This window comes from Homo sapiens, chromosome 2 (genome assembly GCF_000001405.40).
Source record: "Homo sapiens chromosome 2, GRCh38.p14 Primary Assembly".
Classification (NCBI taxonomy): Eukaryota; Metazoa; Chordata; class Mammalia; order Primates; family Hominidae; genus Homo; species Homo sapiens.
The window spans coordinates 20,403,167-20,425,014 of record NC_000002.12 but is presented as its reverse complement, the minus strand read 5'-3'; the positions used below and the strand labels follow the sequence as shown (position 1 = coordinate 20,425,014).

At 45.2% G+C, this 21,848-nt stretch overlaps 1 long non-coding RNA gene across 1 annotated transcript, besides 3 other annotated features; it reads left to right on the top strand.

Annotated features, from left to right (window-relative positions):
• Positions 16–175: an enhancer, noted in NCBI's record as "active region_15388". NCBI's record gives its function as "activates an Ori minimal core promoter by ATAC-STARR-seq in GM12878 lymphoblastoid cells {active_cell/tissue: GM12878}" and the evidence as "EXISTENCE:reporter gene assay evidence [ECO:0000049][PMID:35858748]".
• LOC105373465 (uncharacterized) lies at positions 70–21,824 on the top strand. The gene is made up of 5 exons (XR_001739317.2): positions 70–263; positions 476–2,187; positions 6,128–6,404; positions 8,951–9,047; positions 19,467–21,824. It is a non-coding gene; the product is annotated as an uncharacterized LOC105373465 (long non-coding RNA).
• Positions 2,309–2,822: an enhancer, noted in NCBI's record as "H3K4me1 hESC enhancer chr2:20621954-20622467 (GRCh37/hg19 assembly coordinates)". NCBI's record gives its function as "activates a minimal SCP1, AML or CMV promoter by ChIP-STARR-seq in primed H9 embryonic stem cells {active_cell/tissue: H9 hESC(primed)}" and the evidence as "EXISTENCE:reporter gene assay evidence [ECO:0000049][PMID:30033119]".
• Positions 13,233–13,527: an enhancer, noted in NCBI's record as "tiled region #5478; K562 Activating DNase matched - State 12:CtcfO". NCBI's record gives its function as "activates a minimal TATA promoter and a strong SV40 promoter by Sharpr-MPRA in K562 cells {active_cell/tissue: K562}" and the evidence as "EXISTENCE:reporter gene assay evidence [ECO:0000049][PMID:27701403]".
• Positions 21,825–21,848: the final 24 nt, after the last annotated feature.

Here is a 21,848-nt window from a genome sequence, read left to right as displayed (position 1 = left end):
AGGAAATGCCCTCCAACCGCAGGCCTCCTGCTCTTCCTGCCAGGGTCGAGAAGATTCTAATCCAGATTCAGAAGAGGAGCTGACTGGCCTCTGGCAAGCCCAAGCTGGATTACCAGCTGCGGAGGCAGAGGTGCCTGAGGTTTCCCAGCCCCCAGGCCAGAGGAGGCTGCTACACCCACTTCCCCCACGAAGCTGGGGCCCAGGCCAGAGAGAGAGCCCCAAAGCTGGTTTGGGGGCGGGGAGCTTCCCTACAGGCCCTGGAGGTACCAGGAGTGGGTGAGGTGCGGGGTGGGTGGCCTCCACAGTCCGGGTACACAGTTTGTCTGGGAGATTTCCTGGTTGCTGGTATGGGGGGGAGGTGTTCTTGTAGCTGCTGCAGGAACCTCTCCCTGTGAGCTCCATGGATGGGAAGTCGGGGTGTGGAGTGTGTAGTACTAGAATCTGCCATCTCCAGCTCTGTGCCTGTTTCCCCCAGCCCCATAGGCCCCAAGACAAAGCAAGAGGAATGAGAGGAAGCACAGCCGGGTCAAAGCTCCGAGCCACGAGTACTGAGGCAGGTGGTGGTACCCAGACCCCCTCTCCATAGCTCCCATGAGAGCACAAGGCGGAGGAGAGGACAGACTCCTGGCCTGAGGGGCCAAGCACCAGCTTCTCAGCCAGCTCTGCCACTGACTTGCTGCTTGGCAAGTCACTTAACTGTTCCAAGCCTCAGTTTTCACTTCTGGAAATGGGGATATGACCCCCTGCCTGCCCCCTCATGCTGGCATAAGAATCAATGACCTGTGACAGGACTTTGTAAATTATAAGTTGGTATTAGTTAGGCCTCTTTAGTCACAAATGTGAGAAACTGACATTAAATGAGGCAATGCAAAAGGGGGATTCACCAGCTCAGAGGCCCAAGACCCAGGGCAGGGAGAGGAGGCGCTGTCATTCCCTCTCACCCCTGCATCTCTCTGCAAGTCAGTCTCTTCTTCCGCAAGCCTGGAGCCAACTTCACCTCCTAAGAGGAGCTTCTCTGCTCTGTCACTACCAACTTGAACAACCACAGGGAGGGCCCTGAATTGTGTCACATGTCCACCCATGGCTGTGAGACACTATCTTATGCAGCTTCTTCTGGAAGCTTCTTATTTTGATTGTTGGCATCAGCATTATAAGTTTGCCACATTTTCCTGATTCCTATCCTCCTTGGACAAAATAACATAGGGGCTAAGGGCACAGGCTCTGGAACCCAGATTACCTGGATTCAAGTTCTGGTTCTGCCATTTTCTCACTGTGTAACGTTGGGCAAGTCGCTTAACTTCTCTGCACCTCAGTTCATAAATCTGTGAAAACTAAATGAGTTGATACATGGGAAGTATGAACAATTGTGCCTGGTGCCGGCCAGGGGTTCAACAAATGTTAATCATTATTATTGTCGGAGAATGAAGGGGCAGTGCCTGGGAATCCCAGGATGAGAGACAGCCTGAAGAAAAACCATCCTGCTCCACCTACTCCTCAACCTTCTTCCGGGGAGAGCTGACAACTGCAGGAGCTATGGCTCAACAAAGATGTACAGAGCTATGCAGTAAGCCCTGAGAATTACAAAACTTGACAGACAAAGTCGCTTTTTCTCCAGAAGCTCATTGCCAAGTAAGGGAGATAGAAGCATGAAGAGATCATTTCTATCCTGTGCTGGATAGAAGCGTGTGTATGTCTCTGTGGGAAGCCACAGTGGGACAACTGGTCCAGAGAGAGCTGCCTGGAAGAAATGACACCTGAGCTAAGGCCTGGAGCAGGGGCAAGAGCTTGCCAAGCAAGGAAAGGAGGGCAGGGCGTTGTGCTGTCCATTGGCTATTCAGTCTCGGCTCCAGATCTCCACTTGTCAGGTTGGCGCTACTGGGGCTTGATCTGTGCAAATTACATGTCCCCAGGTCAGCTGGTTCTGGCAGGTTCTTCCAATAGGGGGCACTAGGAGACTGAGGTCAGGAGGAGAGAAGGCACTTGCTCTTTTGTGCTTGCTTGCTTCTCCCCAGCAAGCTTTTTGCCGCAGAAGCATCCACTGAAGCCTCCAGCTTTCTTCAGCCTCAGCAGCTGGAAGCCATGTGAAGCAGCTGACAAACAGCTGGAGGCTGAGATGCCTGCTGTGGGGGGAGCAACAGTTTAAACCAGTGAGCATGTAGCATCGGAAAGCTTCCCGATGGATGATAGGTAAGGTCGGGTATGCAGATGGCCTTCCTGTGCAGGGCTGGGGACCAGAAAGAGGCAGCTAGGGGCAGGGGCCAGCCCCAGGGCAGGTTCAGAACCAAGACCCCATGTTGTGGGAGAATGGGGCCCATCAGGTGGGGCCTGGGCCCAGGGAGCTCTGGTGCAGATGCATGGAACTAAAGCACCCAAAACCTCCTCTGAGTTCCCAGCACTGATGGTGTTTTCAGAGATCATCGTGGCTCCCAGCCCGGGGAAGCCAGACTCAGGGCCAGGACTCTGAGTGGGGGGTTAGGAGAGGCGGCAGCTCTAAGGATGGAAGTTGGTGCTGACAGCAAGGGGCTGGCTCTATCCTCTGAGTATCTGGGAGCCATCATGGATCAAGGTCTCACTCCCATATTAGGAAAATTCTTTAAAAATTCCTCCGTGCAGTGCAATCTTGATTCTCCAGTGTGGGATGGGAGCATTGTGCCCCAGATATGGGAAGTCCTGGGCCACTTCCCTGGACCAGAAGTGCCGTGTCCCCACAACCCATCAGAGAGCTGGGGAAGTGCCATCCAGGCGAGCCTGAGCAGGTCCCCGGCCTTTCCCAATTCCCACATGTGCAATGGGAATGCAGCCAGTCAGAAGCAAGGGCCTCTGGCTCTGTGCCTCCACAGGGTAAGGCTGACCACAGGACTAGTCAGCCAAGGTTCGTGGACCCCTGCCAGTGCTGGCCTTGGCTCCAGGACAGGAATGTCCCTAAAGAGCTGAGGACCTTCCTTCTAGTGCTGCTCCCGGATGGAGGGCGGGGCACAAAGAACACAGCATGGATACGGAGGACCCAGGCTGTGAGCTGTCACCCTCCACTGGGCCTGGGGATGGTGGAGGGGGAGGATGGATGGAGAGATGGGAGAGGGGGATAAGTGAGGGAAGGAGGAAGGGAGGGAGACAGGGAGGTGGGGGAGAGGAGTCACACTGACGTCCAGGTTATGGACAGAAACGGACAGCTGAGGAGCCCATCAAGGCATACTAATGCCGCTGAGGCCGAGCGCATGTGCCCTCCCTTGGGCAGCTCCACTTCTCTGGGAATTCGTCATATGGCACCTGGCTTGCACTTCAGTCTCTGTGAGTCCATCCAAGGGAGTGAGTCCTACACTCCTATTCAGCTCTGGGAGCCACAGCCTGCTCAAAGAGCATCTGAAGCCACCGAGGCAAGCAGCAGACCTGGTGGCCCCGCTGTGAGCAAATTAGCTCATCTTCCTGGGACCCATAGAGCCGTCGGCCATTCCAAAATATCAGCCTCTTCGCTGGTTTCCGCCCAGCTGCCAAGGGACTACCCATGGACTTGGGGGTTGACCTTTCACTGCCTCCAGCTCATGGGGATGGACTTCCGCTCTAAAGGCAAGGGAGCATTGCCAACCCCTGCCACTCCAACAAGAGGGAGCTGTTCTTTTTCACTGTAGGGATTAAAACTCACAACAAAAACACTCAAGAAGCAGGCCAGGCACGGTGGTTCACACCTGTAATCCCAGCACTTTGGGAGGCCAAGGCAGGCAGATCACCTGAGGTCGGGAGTTCAAGATCAGCCTGACCAACATGGAGAAACCCCATCTCCACTAAAAATATAAAATTAGCCAGGCATGGTGGCACATACCTGTAATCCCAGCAACTTAGGAGGCTGAGACAGGAGAATCGCTTGAATCTGGGAGGCAGAGGTTGCAGTGAACTGAGATCATGCCATTGCATTCCAGCCTGGACAACAAAAGCAAAACTCCGTCTCAAAAAAAAAAAAAATACCCAAGAAGCCCCAGCTCCAATGCACTGTCAGAGCCTTCCAAAGTCCTCTTTTGTCACCACCTCATGGGGGTGGCTTCCAGTGACTACCGAGCAGACCATCAGACACTTATTCTCTGGTCATTCCAGGCATGTGACACATTGCCAGCCACTGGCATTGCCAAGAAGCTTGGGACGGACTGCTACCATAGTCACCTCAGGGGCATTACAAGCAGATGTGCCCGAAGTACTAGAAAGTTAATATCTATTTACTCATTTATTTTTGAGATGGAGTCTTGCTCTGCCGCGCCCAGGCTGGAGTACAGTAGCACCATCTTGGCTCACTGCAACCTCCCCCTCCTGGGTTCAAGTGATTCTCCTGCCTCAGTCTCCCAGGCAGCTGGGATTACAGGCACCTGCCACCACGCCCTGCTAATTTTTTGTATTTTTAGTAGAGACGGGGGTTTCACCATATTGGCCAGGCTGGTCTCGAACTTCCGACCTCAGGTGATCCCCCCCGCCTCGGCCTCCCAAAGTGCTGGGATTACAGGTGTGAGCCACTGCGCCTGGCCAAAGTTAATATTTATATTATCCAAAACCAGAGGTTCTACAGGAACAAGTATTTACTTCCCTTTGTACAGAGGCCCACCTGCTAGGGCAATGGTTAGGTGCACATGACATAAACCAGGCAATGTTAGAGGTACGTGCATATGGTATCTTTGCAGGGGTAAGGGATGGTTTTAACATAGGCCTTGGAGATTTCTAGGAGATTGGTCATTTCCTTAAACAGCTTATTTCTGGCATGAAAAACTTCCATCTTCAACACTCTTACTCCCTCCCATTACTTCAATTTCTACCTTTACTCCTAAATATGCAGCTACAGCCTTGACTTGGTTCTCGAGCTCCAGATTTGGCAAACTCACCTATCGCCACAGAGAAGTCTCACGGCCAAGCTGAATAAAATAAAACGCTTCTCTTTGCTGTAAGCCCACTCCTCCTCCCATCTTCCCTGTTCCTGTGAGCCATAACACATTCACCTCATCATCAAGGGTCACACCCTTAGAATCCTCACCGACAGCTCCTAACCCACAAGCAGGAAGGCTGGGCAGTGCACCCTCACTGCTTGTCTCAGACCCCTCACGTCCCTCATACCTACTGTCACAGCCCCAGGTCACCTAGAAAGCTGCTCTCCTCCCTCCTTTTCTTACAGCACAACGAGCCAGATTCATCTTCCAAAGCACCGCTGTCCTCTCCAAGCTGCAGTCTCTCACTCTCTTGCCCTTAGAGTAAGTCCGAATGCCTCACCCGGGCCTCCATGATCCAGCCAAGCTGCCCTTGCAGCCTTTCCTCCCCGCACCCCACCGGCATCCCCTGGGCTGCCCAATCAGCCTCCACCAGATTCCCAGGCAGGGGAGCCACGGGGGAATGTCCAGTGTTGGAGCTGGAAGCCAGGGACGCTGACTTTAGAACTGTCTGGTTGCTGTGGAGCCTCATGGAGTCTTCCCAGGTCTGTCTCCCTGTTTGAGGCTTGCACTCCAGAGGCCCCTCTGGGCAATAATGAACCACCGGGAGTGGTGCCGGGATCGCAGACAGAGATGGACTGCCTGGAGCAGGGTCACCAGGACCAAGGCAGTAACTCAGGTCTGTCAGCGACTTTGTCCACTTCGTCTGTCTCTCAGGCAATTCCTAGAGCTGTGGGAGGGCCCAGGACATGCCCACACCCAGCCACAGTGAGAATGAGGCTGGTTGCTCCTCACTTCTGTTAAATCAAACTAAATTTGGCCTGAGAAAGCCTCTGTACTCACATACTTGAGTTCTTACTTAGGAACAACAAGCTAACTTAGTACCTAAACAAACTGAAAACTCAACTCAGCAGTATGCTTCTGTAACAATGGCTGAGTCTCAGCCAGTCGCAGGCGGCCAGCTGTTCAGACCTTGTACCAATGAGGAAAACGCTGAGCTGTAACTAACCCAGCTGTTTCTGTAGCTCACAATTCCTGTATGTCACCTTCCTTTTTCTGTCCATAAATCTTATCTGACCATGTAGCAGCCCTGGAGTCTCTGAATCTATTCTGATTCTGGGGGCTATCAAATTCAGAAATCATTTTGGTTGTTTTTTTTCTTTTCTTTTCTTTTTTTTTTCAATTAAACTCTGTTAAATTTAATATGTCTAAAGTTTTTCTTTTAACAGATTTGGTGTCAGAAGTGAGAATACAGAGTAAAACTTCAGCAACCCCCAGGAACACCAGGGAACCAGACCAGATACCTGCGAAGCCAGCTGTGCCCACTGATTTCTTGTTTGTAACTGGAGGTCGTGGCTGAATTTTCTCTCAGATTCCAAGATCCAAGAATTTGTGTTCTCAGCTCTCCAAGTTTGTTTGAGCAATCTTTGGACTGGGCTGGGTTTGGGATTGGATTGGATTCAATAATCAACCGGATTAGATTCAGTTAGAGGCTGAGGGCCTCAGGTGGGTACCTTTTTGGTAATGAGTTCATCTCAATTCAAAGAGCCTGGGACTCCACATTCTGGGACTCCAGCTACTTTTATGTATAAAATTATGGGCCCAGAACATGTGCATTTTCAGAAAAAATGGGTTAACCTCACTGAGACAACTTAGAAAAGATAATGGGGAAGTTTTAATTTGGTTAAAATTATTTATTTGCAAGTCATATGAGAAAAAAGGAATCAGAATCCCACATAAAAACAATAGTATGTATCCTTTAATTAGTATAGGAAGATCTAAAAGACTGAACAAATCAAAAATTGCATCCGTAAAAGATTCTTTGCAAAAAGCAAGTGAAAATCTTAAACAACAGACTAAGGACATCATAAAAGAGGACTAAGGCCGAGCACAGTGGCTCATGTCTGTAATCCCAGCACTTTGGAAGGTCAAGGTGGGAAAATTGCTTGAGTCCAGGAGTTCGAGACCAGCATGGGCAACATAGTGAGACCTCATCTCTACAAAAACATAAACAAAATTAGCCAGGTATAGTGGTTTACACCTGTAGTCCTAGCTACTTGGGAGGCTGAGGTGGGAAGATTGCTTGAGCCCAGGAGGTTGAGGCTTCAGTGAGCCAAGATTGCACCACTACACTCCAGTCTGAGCAACAGAGTGAGATCCTGTCTCAAAATAATCATTAATAGTAATAACAATAAATTACAATAAATTATTTTTGTTGTTGTTTTTTTGAGATGGAGTTTTGCTTTTGTTGCCCAGGCTGGATGGAGTGCAGTGGCACGATCTCAGTTCACCACAACCTCTGCCTTCCGGGTTCAAGCAATTCTCCTGCCTCAGCCTCCCTAGTGGGCTGGGATTACAGGTGCATGCCACCATGCCTGGCTAATTTTATATTTTTAGTAGAGATGGGGTTTCACCATGTTGGTCAGACTGGTCTCAAACTCCCGACCTCAGGTGATCCACCTGCCTCAGCCTCCCAAATTGTTGGGATTACAGGCGTGAGCCACCACGCCCGGCCTATAATAAATTAATTTTTAAACTTTCCACTGGTAAGATACTTTGAAAAGAAACAAGGACTATGTTCTTACTGAACTAACCACAACTGTTTATTCTCTTTATCCATCCCCAACTAAATATTCTGAGTCCACTAACCTTGCTAAATTACCCTTTCACCCTGAAGAATATTGACAAAAGAGAAGGCAAACAGATGTCTTTACAAAGTAAGACCTCTGATCAGCCAGGCCTTCCTGCTGTAACCACTTTAACTCCATGATCTAAAATTGAGCTTAGAGCCATTGTAAAAGACTTCCCTGATGCAAGGAGAAACCCTCAAAAATTTACTGAGGAATTTAGAATCTTCCTAGGAATGGAGGATCCAGGACTCCTTGACCTTTACCAATTTATTCACATGATATTGGGACCTGGCAAATGGATGCCAGCAACAGAATGGAACACACATGAGGAGGATATTAAAGACCCCTCCAAGACCTCCTCATGGGAAGGGCCAAAAGGAGCATGAAAAAATGCTGAACCCCTTCTAGATTCAATTTCTAAGATTTTTCACACATTTTTGTCTTCTGGTTTGCATGATGGACCAATCACATTCACCAAAAATTGATTGGTCCATGATGCAATCCTGCAGACAAGAAAAAAAAAAGATGAACCAGTTTCACATTATAGAACTCACTTAGAAACACTATTTCAGAAACATTCTGGGCTCAACATATGGCAAGGAGCATTTCCTGCAGAGACTGAAACGGCATAAACTGTTCTATTTATAAGCAGATTTTGTCCTGAACTTAGCAGTTTAATTAAAAAACATAAACCTAGATGGGAAGTGACAGATATGACTGAATTGGTGGCTGTAGCTGAACATTTTGAAAGGGCTCTACAGGAAGAAAAAACCCAAAGATTAACAAGCCTATGTCCCTTCAACCTTCAAAAAGCTGCAACCTGTGAAGTTTTTTCAACCAAGAGGTCCTGAAACAAGAGGTCCCAAAGTATCTCCCTTTATTGCAAATGACTAGAAAAGAGACACTGGAAAAGAAATTCTCCATTTTTCTGACAGTCCACCAATAAGCCTCTTTCCTTTAGGCTAGAGAGAGCCCAAGAGATTTTAGCTCTCGTGATAATTGACCAGACTCTAAGAGAGTCCCCTGATAAAGTGCTGCCCATAACACCTCTAAATAAACATAGAGAAACAAGAGTTAGAATAAAGGAAATCTTGTACAATCCTGGTGGATACCAAAGCCTCCTATCTACCATAAAGCCACTTTAATAGATCAACAAATCGCTGAGAGTAAAAACGTTATGTTTTTTGCTGGGGGTTTTGAATGAAGTTCAAGAGGTTCCTATGTTTGAACTCGTTCAATGGACTTTGGGGCCATTTTCAGAAAAAACATACTTTTGTACTGTGGGATACTACTCCAGTAAACTTCCTAGGGCAAGACTTACTTTCAAAGCTAAAAGAATGCGGGCAAGATGGCGGATAGAAGGCAGGACTAGCTTGCAGCTCCGGCTCAGAGGAGACTCACCTCGTGAACTTTTTCTCCAAGAACTACTGCAGGACCATACCAGAAAAGCTCAGAGAATCCACAGACCCTTAGAAGGAACTAGATCACTGCTGCGGGGCCCCTGAGATGCCGGAAAACTGTGAGTCTGCTTGCTTTCTCAATGGGGAAGCTGGTGGTCTAGGGCAAGTTCTCAGCCCTGGTCACCACCTGTCTGTTAATAGACTCCATGCTGTTGGGGGGCCACAGTGGGAGTGAGACCAGCCTTTAGGACTGCAGGCTGCATGGGAGTGGGGTGAGGTCTGTGATTGCTGGCTTTCCCCCACTTCCCTGGCGACCAGTATGACTCAGGAGAGGCAGACATGCTCCCCATGGGAATACAAATCCATTGGACTGGGAACCACACCCCCATCTCCCACAACAGCCACAGCATGCCCCACCCAAGGAGAGTCTGAGCTCAGACATGCCTATCCCTGCCCCCACCTCGTGGTCTTTCTCCACCCAGCTGGTAGCAGAAGACAAAGATCATAATCTCTTTGGGAGCTCTATGGCCCTGCCCACTGCCTGAGAAACCTGCATACTTAACCAGGTGTCTCTAGGGCAAGTTTACATCCTCCCTATACGATTGCAGCTGATGTGCTCTTGAAAGCCCCACCTCGGGAGGCCGAGGCGGGCGGATCACGAGGTCAGGAGATCGAGACCATCCTGGCTAACACGGTGAAACCCCGTCTCTACTAAAAATACAAAAAATTAGCCAGGCGTAGTGGCGGGCGCCTGTAGTCCCAGCTACTCAGGAGGCTGAGGCAACAGAATGGCGTGAACCCGGGAGGCGGAGCTCGTAGTGAGCCGAGATCCCGCCACTGCACTCCAGCCTGGGCGACAGAGCGAGACTCCCTCTCACAAAAAAAAAAAAAAAAAAAAGAAAGCCCACCTCCTGGCCAACCAACACAAAACCAGTGCACTAAAGAAAAACACAACAAACGACCTACACAGAGTCCACGTCACTGCCCTGCTGCCTCCACTGGAGCAGGTGCTGGTATCTATGGCTGAGACAGGATCACATCACAGGACTCTGCAGACACTCCCCAGTGCCAGCCCAGAGCCCGGTAGCTCCACTGGGTGGTTAGAACCAGAAGAGCAAAAGCAATCACTGCAGTTCAGCCCTCAGGAAGCCTCATTCCTAGGGGAAGGGGGAGAACACTGCATCAAGGGGGCATCCCATGGGACAAAAGAATCTGAACAGCAGGCCTTGAGTCCCAGATCTTCCCTCTGACATAGTCAACCCAAATGAAAAGGAACCAGAAAAACAATTCTGGTAATATGAAAAAACAAGGTTCTTTAGCACCCACAAAAGATCAAACCAGCTCACCAGCAATGGATCCAAACCAAGATGAAATATCTGAATTGCCAGAAAAAGAATTCAGAATGTTGATTATTAAGCTAATCAAGAAGGCACCAAAGAAAGGTGAAGTCCAACTTAAAGAAATCAAAAATATGATGCAGGATATAAAATAAAAATTCTTCAATGAAATAGATAGCATAAATAAAAAACAATCACAACTTCTGAAAATCAATGACACACTTAGAAAAATGCAAAATACACTAGAAAGTCTCAGCAATAGAATTGAGCAAGCAGAAGAAAGAACTTCAGAGCTCAAAGACAAGGCTTTCAAATTAACCGAATCCATCAAATACAAAAAAAAAAAAAAAAGAATTTTAAAAAATGAACAAAGCCTCCAAGAAGTTTGGGACTATGTTAAATGCCCAAACCTAAGAATAATTCCTTGGTGTTCCCAAGGAAGAAGAAAAATCTAAAAGTTTGGAAAACATATTTGAAGGAATAATCAAGGAAAACTCCCCCAGCCTTGCTAGAGATCTAGACACCCAAATACAAGAAGCTCAAAGAACACCTGGGAAATTCATCACAAAAAGATCATCACTAGGCCAGGCGCAGTGGCTCATGCCTGTAATCCTAGCACTTTGGGAGGCTGAGGCGGGTGGATCACCTGAGGTGAGGAGTTCAAGACCAGCTTGGCCAATATGATGAAACTCCATCTCTACTAAAAATATAAAAATTAGCTGGGCATGATGGCTGGCACCTATAATCCCAGCTACTTGGGAGGCTGAGGCAAGAGAATTGCTTGAACCCAGGGAGCAGAGGTTGCAGTGAGCCAAGATCGCACCACTGCATTCCAACCTAAGTGAAAGAGCAAAACTCTGTCTACAAAAAAAGAAAAAAATATATATCATTGCTTAGGCACATAGTCATCAGATTATCTAAAGTCAATATGAAGGAAAGAATCTTAAGAGCTATGAGGCAAAAGCATCAGGTAACCTATAAAGGAAAACCTATCAGATAAATAGCAGATTTCTCAGCAGAAACCCTACAAGCTAGAAGGGATTGGGGTCCTATTTTTAGCTTCCTTAAACAAAACAATTATCAGCCAAGAATTTTATATACAGTGAAAATAAGCTACATAAATGAAGGAAAGATACAGTCTTTTCCAGACAAACAAATGCTGAGAAAATTAGCCACTATCAAGCCAGCACTGCAAGAACTGCTAAAAGGAGCTCTAAATCTTGAAACAAATCCTCAAAACACCTCCTTAAAGCATAAATCTTTAAGATAGAACCTCCTTAAAGCATAAATAGAACCTCCTTAAAGCATAAATAGAACCTCCTTAAAGCATAAATCTCACAGACCTATATAACAATAACAGTGAAACAATAACAATGAAAAAAAACCAAAGTATTCAGGCAACGAATAGCACAATGAATAGAATAGTACCTCACATCCCAATGCTAACATTGAATGTAAACAGCCTAAATGCTCCACTTAAAAGATACAGAATGGTAGAATGGATAAGAATTTACCAACCAAGTTTCTGCTGTCTTTGGGAGACTCACCTAGCACGTAAAGACTCACATAAACTTAAGGTAAAGGAGTGGAAAAAGATACTCCATGCAAATGGACCCCAAAAGCGAGCAGGAGTAGCTATTCTTATATCAGACAAAAGAAACTTTAAAGCAACAGCGGTTAAAAAAGACAAAGAGGAACATTATATAATGATAACAGGACTAGTCCAATAGAAAAATATCACAATTCTAAATATACATGCACCAAACACGAAAGCTCCCAAATTTATAAAACAATTACTACTAGACCTAAGAAATGAGATATACAGCAACACAATAGTGAGGGACTTTAATACTCCACTGACAGCACTAGACAGGTCATCAAGACAGAAAGTCAACAAAGAAACAATGGACTTATACTATACCCTACAACAAATGGACTTAACAGACATTTGCAGAACATTCTACCCAACAACTGCAGAATATACATTCTATTCATCAGCACATGGAACATTCTCCAAAGCTAAAAGCATGTATATATTCTTCTCAGAAAGAGAAATAATCTTAGAGTTTCCTGACTCTTCTGCACCAGAATTGTTATGCTCTCTATGGGCAGAAATTGATAAGATTAAAAATCAGGACTGTAATGCCCCTGATGTTTCTAAAATACCTGTATGTTTATGGGCCTCTTCCTCAACTGATACAGGAAGGATTGAAAATGTGGAACCTACAAAAATCCAAAAGATTATTCTAAACCTTTGCCTAAATTACTCCAATAGTCACTAAAACCCAAAGCATTTCAAGGGCTCTCACCAATTGTGGAAGATTTAATTAAACAAGGACTTAGACAATTGTATGTACCAGTGCTGGTAATTCTACGATCCTACCAGCTGAAAAACCAGAGTCCAGAGCAAGATGGCCGACTAATATACCCTAGCACTGGTCCCCTTCGTGAAGACGGCCAGAACAACGAATAAACAACTACATGTTAGTGAAAACAACTGAGAGAGCATGCTGGAGTGCATCAGAGGAGTAACAGAAACCCCAGTGAGCTCAGAAACTTGAGATGGACACATAAAGGATGGAAGGAGGCCAGGTGCGGTGGCTCATGCCTGTAATCCCAGCACTTTGGGAGGCTGATCACGAGCTCAGGAGATCGAGACCATCCTGGCTAACATGGTGAAACCCCGTCCCTACTAAAAATACAAAAAATTAGCCGGGCGTGGTGGCGGGCACCTGTGGTCCCAGCTACTCGGGAGGCTGAGGCAGGAGAATGGCGTGAACCCAGGAGGCGGAGCCTGCAGTGAGCGGAGATCACGCCACTGCACTCCAGCCTGGGCGACAGAGCGAGACTCTGTCTCAAAAAAAAAAAAAAAAAAAAGAATGGAAGGAAATGCCAAGCCTCCACCACTGCATCTCCCAGCTGGGGTCAGCTGAAAACCAGGAGGAACTTCTTTCTATGGTGAGGAGTTAAGCATGAGGATCCCAGCAACCCTCATCACCACCTTTGACACCTACAAACCTCACCACTGGAGTTCCTTGCATTCATCACAGGCACTAAGCCCAGCTCAAGGAGCTGCCTGGAGTTCACATAGCTGTGCTTCCTCCCAGAGAAGGTAGTTGATACTGTGCTCGCCCCCGTGTGGCCCATGCAGCTACTGCACTATGTCATCTTGGAACTGGGACTAAAGCTGGAGTATTATGCTGCAGGCGTAAGTAGTAGCCATGGCTTCCCTTTATCCCTGAGGCTAAGCTGACAATGAACTATCCCTGGCCACTGACCCAACAGCCCCATGCTGAGCTGCAAGCAGCTGTTATACTCTTCCCAAGGAAGCTAAGCAGAAATGCAGCTGTTCCACCTACCCCTCCCTCCAGCCCCTTGGGCCAGAATTGAAGCAGTAACCTTCCTCCTGGGAAAACAGTAGCTGGGCCACATAAAGAAGTCACATCTCCCCAGTGCCTAAGTTAAAGCAGTGTCCCACATCCCAGGAAATGGTGCCCCAGCCCCCTGGAGGGGTCACACACCCCAGTACCTAAGCTGAAGTGATGCCCTGCATCTCAGGGAGACAGTGCCTAGGCTTCCCAGAACAGTTATGCTCCCATCACCCCAGGCTTGAGCTGAAATGACACATAGTCCCCTGGAGAATATGTGCCTTGGTCAAGCTGAACAGCTGCATATCCCAGGGTTGAGCTGATGTGGTACCCTACATCCCAGGGAAACAGATCAGTGGCTGAGCAGAGACACCCTATTCTACAGGCCAAACAACTTTAGTAGCCTGTTTTCCTGCAGTGAGACTAGCTCCTTAGAGCCTGAGCTGCTGAGACAGTCCTTTCCCTGAGGAGTGGAGTCATCTCTGTGTTGTTCCCTGCCCCTCCAGAGCCCAAATGACAGATGTGCTTTACCATTCTGGAGCCCTTGCTGCCGTTGCCCCTGGCCTCACAGAGTCTGGGATACTGCCAAGCCCCACCATCCTAGGGTCTAGAGTCACTACTACATGGTGCTTCGTCCTCTGGAACCTGAGTTGTCACTGAGCTCATTGACTCTGGTTCCTGAATTGCAGCTTTACTCTACTCCCCAGGCCCATACCGCCAGAGCAACTCTTCTTCCCTGGAGTCAGGCCGGTGCTATGCCCTTCCCCCCAGGGGTAGAATCACAGGCATAACTTGCCCGCCTGGACCTGAGCTTCCAGGAAGTTACTGTAAGTCAGATATCCTGACACTATAGGCAATCTACATCCAACTCTGCCTCAGAAAACAAACCTGCACCCCAAGACCTGGGTGCCACAATAGGTTTGTGAGACCCTGAGCCTAGTACCTGACCCTACAGCCACTCAGAGCACATGCACCTAGAACCCAGTGCCTCTGCACCTGCCTGTAGACTATGTCAGACCTGATACTAAGAGTGATCTCCTCAGCTAAGTCTCTCCATTGTGGAGAAAATGAGACTAGGAGGACCCTAAAAGCCCTTGACACCAAGGACATTCACAACCTACACTGCTGCTGCCACAGACTTCTACAGCACAGGCTACTAAGGTACCCACAGCTATTGCTGTCATAGAACGCAGCTGAAGAAACTCCACAGAAGCTAAACCACTGCACCTATCTAGAACTAGAGTCATCACACCTTTCCCAACTGGCACACTAAAACCCAAAACTGCAAGTGAAAGTCCTTCTCTACAAAAGCCACACTAGGAAGTTTGGAAGAGCTGATTTTTCCACCAGATGCACAGACGTCAATGTAAGGACAAAAGAATCATGAAAGGATACAGAAATATGACACCACTAAAGTAACGTAACAATCTACCAACAGACCCCAATGAAAAGGAAATCAACAAACTATTGGGATAAAAGAATCCAAAATAATGATCTTTAGGAAACTCAATGAGATACAAGAAAATATAGATGATTCGATGAAATTAGGAAAACAATTCGCAATACACATGAGAAACTCAAAAAAGAGATGAAAATCATAAAAAAGAACCAAACAGAAATCTTGCAGCTAAAGAATTCAATGAGTGAAATAAAAAAATACAATAGAGTGTTTCAACAGCAGACTTGATCAAGCAGAAGAAAGAATCCCTTAACTTGAAGATAGGTCATTTGAAATTATCCAGAAAAAGAAGTTAAAATGAAAAAGAATGTAGAAAACCTACAAGATTTATATGATAGCATTAAGTAAACAAATATGCATTTTATGAGAATACCAGAAGGAGAAGATAAAAGGTGTAGAAAATTTGTTTAATTAAATAATAGCTGAAAACTTCCCAAGTCTGGGAACAAATATGAACATCCAGACCCAAGAAGCTCAAAGGTCCCCAAATAGATTCAACTCAAAAAGATCCCCTCTAAGGTACATTGTAGTCAAACTATCTTAAGTCAAAGACAAAAGAATTCTAAAAACAGTAAGAGAAAAGTGTCATCATATACAAGACTGAAGCAGATTTCTCTGCAGACAACCTTGTAGTCCAGGAGAGAATGGGATGATACAGTTTCTTTTCTGGTAGAAAAAAAAAATTGCCAACCAAGAATACTATACCCAGCAAAGCTATCCTGCAGAAATGAGGAAGAAATAAAGTTTCTCCCAAAAAAGCAAAAACTAAGGGAATTAATCACCACTATGCTGGCCCTACAATAAATGTTTAAAGGAGTCCTACATCTGGAAATGAAAAAATGATATCTACCATCATGAAAACACACAAAAGTGTGTAAAACTCACTGGTAGAGGAGATGCACAAATGAGAAAGAGAAAGGAGTCAACTGTTAGAATCAACTGTTACCACTATAGAAAATCACCAAACTGCAATAAAAATAAGAGGAAGAAAGGAACAAAGGATGTACAAAACAATCAGAAAACAATATAGAAAATGATAAGAATAAATCCTCACCTATCAATAACAACCTTGAATGTAAATGGATTAAATTCCCCACTTAAAAGATATAGACTGGCTGAATAGATTTTTTACATGATCCAACTATATGCTGCCTACAAAAAAACTCACTTTACCTGCATAGACACATATAGATTGAAAGTGAAGGAATGGAAAAAGATATTCCATGCAAACAAAAGTCAAAAGCAACCAGTAGTAATTATATCAGAAAAAAACAAACTTTAAATAAAAAAACTGTAGAAAGAGACTAGGTCACTATATAATAATAACATAACCAATTTGGTAAGAGAATACAAAACATTTTCTAGGATAGACCACATGTTAGTTCACAAAACAAGTCTCAACAAATTTAAAAGAAGTGAAACGATACTCTTTTTTTGTTTTAAGAGATGGGGTCTTGCTATGTTTCCCAAGCTGGAGTGCAGTTGCCATTCAAAGGCACGATCATAGTACACTTTAAGCTATGCCACTGAAGTGGGTGGATCCTGGTTGGTTAGGGGCTTTTCTATGTAGGAAGGCCAATACTGTAGCAATAGCTAATAAATTATTAGAAAATGTGTTTCCTTTATGAGGCATTCTTAGAGAAATCTCCAGTGATAGGTAAACTCACTTTATGGGGCAAGTTATAATGCAGTTTAAAAAGGTTTTATAGACACATTGGCACTACCATTGTGTCTATCACACTCAGTCTTCTGGAAAGATTGAAAGAACAAATGGCAGGCCAGGTGCAGTGGCTCACACCTGTAATCCCAGCACTTTGGGAGGCCAAAGCAGGCAGATCACAAGGTCAGGAGATCAAGACCATCCTGGCCAACATGGTGAAACCCTGTCTCTACTAAAAATACAAAAATTAGCCAGGTGTGGTGGCAGACACCTGTAATCCCAGCTACTTGGGAGGCTGAGGCAGGAGAATCGCTTGAACTCCGGAGGCAGAGGTTGCAGTGAGCAGAGTTTGCACTACTGCACTCCAGCCTGGTGATAGAGCAAGACTCCGTCTAAAAAAAAAAAAAAAAAACAAATGGCATCTCAAAACCGAAATTGGAAAAGTGAACTGAGTCACTTGGCCAAAATGTACTACTATTAGCTTTAATGGCAACCTGATCCACTCCCACTGGAAACCATAAGTTGACCTCCTATGAAATAGTCACTGGAAGGCCTATGCCCCTAATAATAGAACTTCATGCATCTCCCACTCTCCATTTAGTTTGACTAAATACTGCAAGGCTTTAATGCGTTATGCCAAAGCGTATCTTCCCTAGGTAAAGGAAGTTTTTTGTGATCCACTGACTGAGGACAATCAAACCATTCATGATCTAGGACCTGGTGATTGGGCCTTCTGAAAACAACATCAGAGGAACACCGCTCTTGAACCCCCTTGAAAGGAACTGTACCAAGTTCTTCCACCACCCATACTTTAGTGAAACTTCAGGGCTTTGAAACTTGGGTTCACATCTCACAACTCAAAAGAACCGCTTCAGACTTTTAGAACTGTATACCTGTTGAAGACTTTAAGATAAAGCTATTAATAGAAAAATTTCTTCCAGAAGCAGATGACATCCTAGACTTGAACAGCTTTCCTAAGATAACAGATCAAGACTTTTATGCCGTCATTAAAGCTTTGTGCTTTTTCTTTTTTCCTCATTTCCTTCTGTCCTAATCCTTTCCTTTTGCCTGTGGTAAAATCCATGGGACCATAAGAAGTGGATGGATTCAACTCTAGCTTATGCTCTAGCACAAAGCCAGATCATGGCTGGGTACAATGGTGCATGCCTGTAGTCCCAGCTCCTCAGGAGGCTGAGACAGGTGGACGCTTGAATTTAGGAGTTTAAGTACAGCCTGGGCAATATGGCAAGACCTTGTCTCCAAAAAAAGAAAAAGAAAAAGGAAGGAAGGAGGGAAGGAAGGAAGGAAAGAAGGGAAAAGAAAAGAAGAGAAAAAAGAAAAGCCGAGCAATTGTTGGGTTTGTGGGCTAATGCCAAGGTCAGAAAACAGTTTCACTGATGTCAGTGCCTCTCCATGTTCCCAATGAGAGTCACTCTGAAATTTCAAAGGAAGAATGGAAAGCTATCCTTGATATTTTAAAGATGACTGCTACTTACTTCACTGCACTTGCTAGAAGCAACACTCTAGGTCAAGCACGGTGGCTCATGCCTGTAATCCCAACACTTTGGGAGGCCGACGGGGGGGGCGGATCACTTGAGGCCATGAGTTCGAGACCAGCCTGGCCAACATGGCGAAACCCCGTCTCTACTAAAAATACAAAAATTAGCCAGGTGTGGTGGCATGTGCCTGTAATCCCAGCTACTAGGGAGGCTGAGGCAGAGGATCACTTGATCCCGGGAGGCGGGGGTTGCAGCGAGCTGAGATCATGCCACTGCACTCCAGCCTGGGAGACAGAGCAAGACTCTGTCTCAAAAAAAAAAAAAAAAAAAAAAAAAGAAAGAAAGAAAGAAAGAAAGAAACGAAACAACACTCTAACTTTTCCCATTAATAAAATGATCACTACCAAATATAGAAAACCTGTCTAAGTAATGCCTGAAAAAGAATACTGTGCTTCCAGGCATCATGCACAGAAGACCTGGGAATTACCTATGTGGGCACAGGTATTGTTTGTATCATGTAACCAGATTAAAGTCAGTAGGATCCTTTTTTACTAAAGGTGGTTATACACCCTTATAGCATGTTATTAAAGGACTACAAAAAGTAAAATGTTCACAGGAACTTGTGTAGGAGGTATGCGGATTCATGGGTGAACAAACTCAACCGACCCTTGCTCCCGCACAACTAAGTGGCCCTCTTTTCCAATCGCTGGGGGCGTATACTGGGTCTGTGCGGTATGGTCATTCTGTTCTGCCTCCTCACTGGTTTGGATCTTGCTTTTTGGCTGGCTCCCTTCTGCCTTTCAAATAGCTTCCTCTGAATGTTCCTGTAGTAGCTTCTATGATCAAAGGCCAAAATGGTCGATAATCAAAATTAGCAACTTTGAAACTGATGAAGATAAGCTAGTTTCCACTGAGGAAAGAGTCCAGTGGGATTCCTGGGGGGCCACTTTCAGCAGTAGTGAGGTACCAGAAGAATGGAATTTAAAGCTAATCCATAAATTAAGAAAAATCTTGGATTTTGCAGCGAATCAGACTTCCTAGGGTTTCAAACAAGTAGAAGTCACTCTGAAAATAAATAACATATGCGTTCAACAAAACCACTCAATGGAACATCACGTAGCTTAAGTTCCCTTTTTATTTAAGTTGGGGGCTTTTGTTTGCTATTGAGCAAAACTGAATGTTTTACCTATTTCTCCCTTGATTTTTTTATTACAGAAAGCTATATTTAAAAGGGGGCTGATACTGCTGTTTTCTAAGATACTGCCACCAGATACGTTAAGGAAATCTCTCAAGAGAAAGGAACAGATGACATGTCTATGGGAGCAACTGACAGTTGGTTTGTAAGCATCCCGAATGGTGAATGGCAAGCTTGGCTTTTTCCAAGGTTTTCTAAAGTATAAATTTCTTCCCTTAGGTCTCCAGGTTATTATGACTTGTGTTACCAGGTAACAACAAAAATGGCCTTTTAAAATCAGGCCATTTTACAGCAAACTATAGTTCTTAATCATCACCAAATCCTGCACCAAGGACTATGCCCAACTAGAGTCAAATATTGTTAAACTGCCTATATTGTCTGAACTTTGACCTGTTTGATTTGGTTAGGTTCGTTGAGTTCATTTCTTAGAACTTGTTGAGGAGTACACTTTGGACTTGTTTGTTTGTTTGCTTGTTTGTTTTAAGAGGTAGTGTCTGTGTATGCTGCCCAGGCTGGATTCAAACTCCTGGGCTTAAAAGATCCTCCTGCCTCAGCCTCTCAAGTAACTGGGACTACAGGCTCATACCACGGCAACCAGCTGGTCTTTTCCTATTATTTTCTTGATCGTCATAATAGTCCCTTGATATGGTTTGGCTCTGTGTTCCCACCCAAATCTCACCTTGAGTTGTTATAATCCCCACATGTTGTGAGAGGAACCTGGCGGAAGGTAATTGAATCATAGGGGCAGGTTTTTCCCATGCTATTCCATTGATAGTGAACAAGTCTCATGTTCTCCCTCACAAGCTTTCTTGCCTACCACCATGTAAGATGTCCCTTTGCTCTTCCTTCATCTTCCTACATGTTTGTGAGGCCTCCCCAGCCATGTGGAGCTGTGAGTCCCTTAAACTTCTTTCCTTTATAAATTACCCAGTCTTGGGTATGTCCTTTTAGCAGTGTGAGAACAGACTAATATATCCCCTGGGGCACGGCATCATCTCAAGTCTTAAATGTTTTCTTTTTTTTTTTTTTTTTTTTGAGATGGAGTCTCACTCAGTCACCCAGGCTAGAGTGCAATGGCGCGATCTTGGCTCACTGCAACCTCCACCTTCCAGGTTCAAGCAATTCTCCTGCCTCAGCCTCTCGAGTAGCTGGGATTACAGGCGTGTACCACCACACCTGGCTAATTTTTGTATTTTTAGTAGAGACGGGGTTTCACCATGTTGCCCAGGCTGGTCTTGAACTTCTGACTTCAAATAATCCACCCGCCTCAGCCTCCCAAAGTGCTGGGATTATAGGCGTGAGCCACTGCACCCAGCCACTCAAGTTCTTATGTATGAACTGCAAACTAACTTAGTATTAAACAAACTGAAAACCTAATTTAGGGGTGAGCTTCTGTAACAATAGCTAAGTCTCAACCAATCACAACAGCCATGCATTAGTCAATCACAGGCGGCCAGCTGTTCAGACCATGTTCAAATAAGGCGAATACTGTGCTGTAACCAATGCAGCTGTTTCTCTACCTCACTTCTATTTTCTGTCCTTTGCTTTTCTTCTTCTGCCATAAATTTATCTGCCCATACAGCAGCCCTGAAGTCTCTCTGAATCTGTTCCGATTCTCAGGACTGCCAGATTCATGAATCATTTTTTTTTCTTTTTCTTGCTCAGTTAAACTCTGTTAAATCTAATTTGTCTAAAGTTTTTCTTTTAACCCTGCCAAGTAGCTCTTTCCATCTGGTTCTTGTCTCATGATGTAAGTGTTTCTCTGCCTTTTCATCTCTGAAACAGAGTCACCTGGCATTGGTAATATTCTGTTCTGATCACCTCTAATGGGAAACTAGCTGTAAAGATGCTGTTTACTATTACAGTCAGAAATTCACATCGTTTACTGTTTTGCTTTTGTGTTATGTTTTAAAGATAACATCGTATGGCCTTCTTTCTGAAGGGCCTGAAGAAGCCTTTGGACCAAAGCAATAAAATTCTGACCTTCAAAAAAGATTATATCACATAATTTTCTACCTTTAAAAATTGTATAACATTTTTTATTCTAAAATAAAAAGCATAGGTACACAAACCTAAGCTTTATTCCCAAAAAAGATGTTTTCTAAGGGAATATATTCAGGTTACAAAATGCTATTTTTAGGGAGCTAAATGATAAGAACTTATGGACACAGAGAAGGAAACAACAGATACTGGGGCTTACTCAAGGCGGGAGGGTGGCAGGAGGGAGAGGAGCAGAACAGGTAACTATCAGGTACTGAGCTTGATACCTGGATGATGTAATAATATGTACACCAAAGCCCCGTGACAGGTGTCTGTCTATGTAACAAACCCTCAAATGTACCCCTAAACCTAAAATAAAAATGTTGTTTTAAATGCTATTTTTTTCTTCAATGTATTTAGCT